This window comes from Homo sapiens, chromosome 5, assembly GCF_000001405.40.
Source record: "Homo sapiens chromosome 5, GRCh38.p14 Primary Assembly".
NCBI classification, from domain to species: domain Eukaryota; kingdom Metazoa; phylum Chordata; class Mammalia; order Primates; family Hominidae; genus Homo; species Homo sapiens.
In genome coordinates this window covers 56357312-56359720 of record NC_000005.10, presented here as the reverse complement: position 1 = coordinate 56359720, position 2409 = coordinate 56357312, and the positions used below count along the sequence as shown (strand labels likewise).

Genomic DNA, 2409 nt, shown 5'->3' with positions numbered 1-2409 from the left:
TCCTGTAAATCAAGTGAACTTGCTTTAGAAAATGGCATAATCTCTATCTAGAAACTATTCCTCACAGCCCTTTAGGGAATAATCCATTCATGAAACTGAAATATTGTTGGGCTTACTTTATATCTGTTGCTCCTCTTGGCTGTATCTGAGAGTTGGCTCTTGTTCTTGCTCTCTCTTTCTCTCTCTCTCTCTCGCTCTCTCTCCTCTCTCTCCCTCTTTCTCTCCTCTCTATTTTTCTCCCTCCTCTTCCCAACCAAATGATCTTGAGAAGCAAAGATTTATTGCCTGGAATCGAGAGCCACTGCTCACTCAGCCAACAAAATCTGGTCTCCAGTTAAGGCTAAGGGCAACTGGCTGTGAGTGCCTCAACCTGCTGAACCTGCAAAAGTCCCCACCTCCCACACTACGGCCTGCTCATGGAAAATTCCTGGACACAGAAGGGTCAGCCCACGGACAAGGAGTCAGCCAACCATGCTCCCCTGGGCACAAGGACCTTGGCGCCTTTCCAACCACTATCATTAAAAGTGGGGGCTTTTATGTTAGTTTTTCTTAAGTTCACGTTTCGGGCAACTCTTTATTATGATGGTGATTATTTTTTCTCCAAGGCCAGGCCTCCACCCTCACAACTTTGGTGGAATGTGTTAATAATTTGCTCTAGGGAGATGAAAGCCTCTTTGATACAAGTAGAATAAACACATGGAACGCTGCTCAAAGGTCTAATTTTCACAATAGGAGTGTGGTTTTTTGGACTGAGAGTCGAATGGGGAGAGCAGTCTCATTCCTGAGTCACTTTCCACCCTGCTGTCTCTCCTCTGCCTCTGCAGCTCCTCCTCACTTGCCCCGCTGAGGGCAATGCCTGCCACTCCTCTGGGTCGCTCCAGACAGCTGGTGGCCAAGAAAGGCTGTCACTCACCATCGTGGTGAACACTGAAGTCCTGAAACAGACCTGAAGGGCATTTTCCTTCTGGATGATGTTGCTTTGTTTGGGCTGAGGATCTTTTCTAGATGCCAGGCAAAGACTTGCTTGGTGAAACCAGAACATATTAGAGCAGAAAAGACATCTTTGAATCCAACCTCTTCCTTTTACAGATGAGGTTCCAGAAGCCCAGGGAGGCTATGTAACTTCTCTAAAGTCAATAGGTTTTCTAAATCGCAGCACAACCTGTTCTCAAGCACCTGTGCTGCCATATTCTCCTGGTCCCCAAGGATTGACAGAAGCAAAACTCGGAAATGAAAGAAACCCATTTTCAGAATTGTTTTAATTTTCTTTCTGCACCACTCTCATTTTGGGGTGCCTCTCCCTACCAGACTCCATTCTTAGTCCCCTTTGCACTTGAGGCTTGTTCAAGTTTCATTTTAATATTCATTCATTGATACATTTGGTTACTTCAGAAGAATTGGTTTGGGGGCAACTCATGGTCTGGTTTGGTAGAAGAGGCCCAGTTAGGGTGTCCAAAGGTCAAGGTCCAGGGCCTGTCTATTAAGACTTGACCTCTGAAGCTGCTTCTCCCTCCCTCTGCGCTACCTGCTCTACTCAATTTCTGGAATGGTAGAGACATAAGTAAACAATAGATACTAAAGCCATTACTTTTGTAAGTGGATGATAAAGAGTCCTACATATTTAGAATGGTATAGTTTTCATCTAATAATTCTATGGATTTGTAAACAATGGATAAATATTCCTATTTATGGTGGCTATTCTATTAACATAGACTCATGCTTACTTACTCCTACTTTAAACTTCTTTCATGCAACATAAATTAAAGGGCTTTATTTGCATTATCATAATTTTCTCTGTATACATTTGCAAGATTCTTTTTTTGTGAGGTACTCAAATCTTCACATTCAGCCATGTGATCTAAAGATCATTCCATCATTTATTTTGCAAAACTTGAAACATGACAGTAGGGTTCTTTTCATCCAAATTGTGTAGCTTTGATCTTCATTATATCAGCAGTCAAAATACATAGATTTTTTTCTATCATCAAAGTCATAAAACATGTTTTGGCCCAGACACCTCAAGAGATGGAGATTGGTTCCTAGGTCACATTCCTCCTTTGTAACAATTTATCTGAGTAGCCCCAGGCCACATTCCTCAGACTCCTCCTCCTCAGCTCCTCTTCTCATCCCCCTGCCTCCACTCAGTACATACAGTCCTTTCTAGAACACACAGTTCAAAGATTACTTGAGAAAAGTCCTTCTTATTGGTGAATTGTCTAATTCCTTCAGGTTTCATTTCATCTCAAAGATAGTATTTAATTTGTGTTTCTAAACTGATACTCTTTCCAAGATTGAAATGTCCTTGAGAAAAACTAGCAGTATTTTTAATCCACTGGGAATTAGTGGCATCTTGCCCCTTAATACTTGGCAGTTACAACAGTTTGAAACTTCTCCCGGAAACTTCTTACT

The 2409-nt window shown here is 42.0% G+C and overlaps 2 annotated features.

The window, feature by feature from the left end:
- Window positions 575-719: an enhancer, noted in NCBI's record as "145 bp enhancer 104 fragment used in the MPRA reporter construct; PK_construct_11". NCBI's record gives its function as "activates an SV40 promoter by MPRA in HepG2 cells {active_cell/tissue: HepG2}" and the evidence as "EXISTENCE:reporter gene assay evidence [ECO:0000049][PMID:23512712]".
- Window positions 640-653: a transcriptional cis regulatory region, noted in NCBI's record as "HNF1 motif; enhancer activity is reduced when this motif is scrambled". NCBI's record gives its function as "necessary for full MPRA enhancer 104 activity {active_cell/tissue: HepG2}" and the evidence as "EXISTENCE:site-directed mutagenesis evidence [ECO:0005528][PMID:23512712]".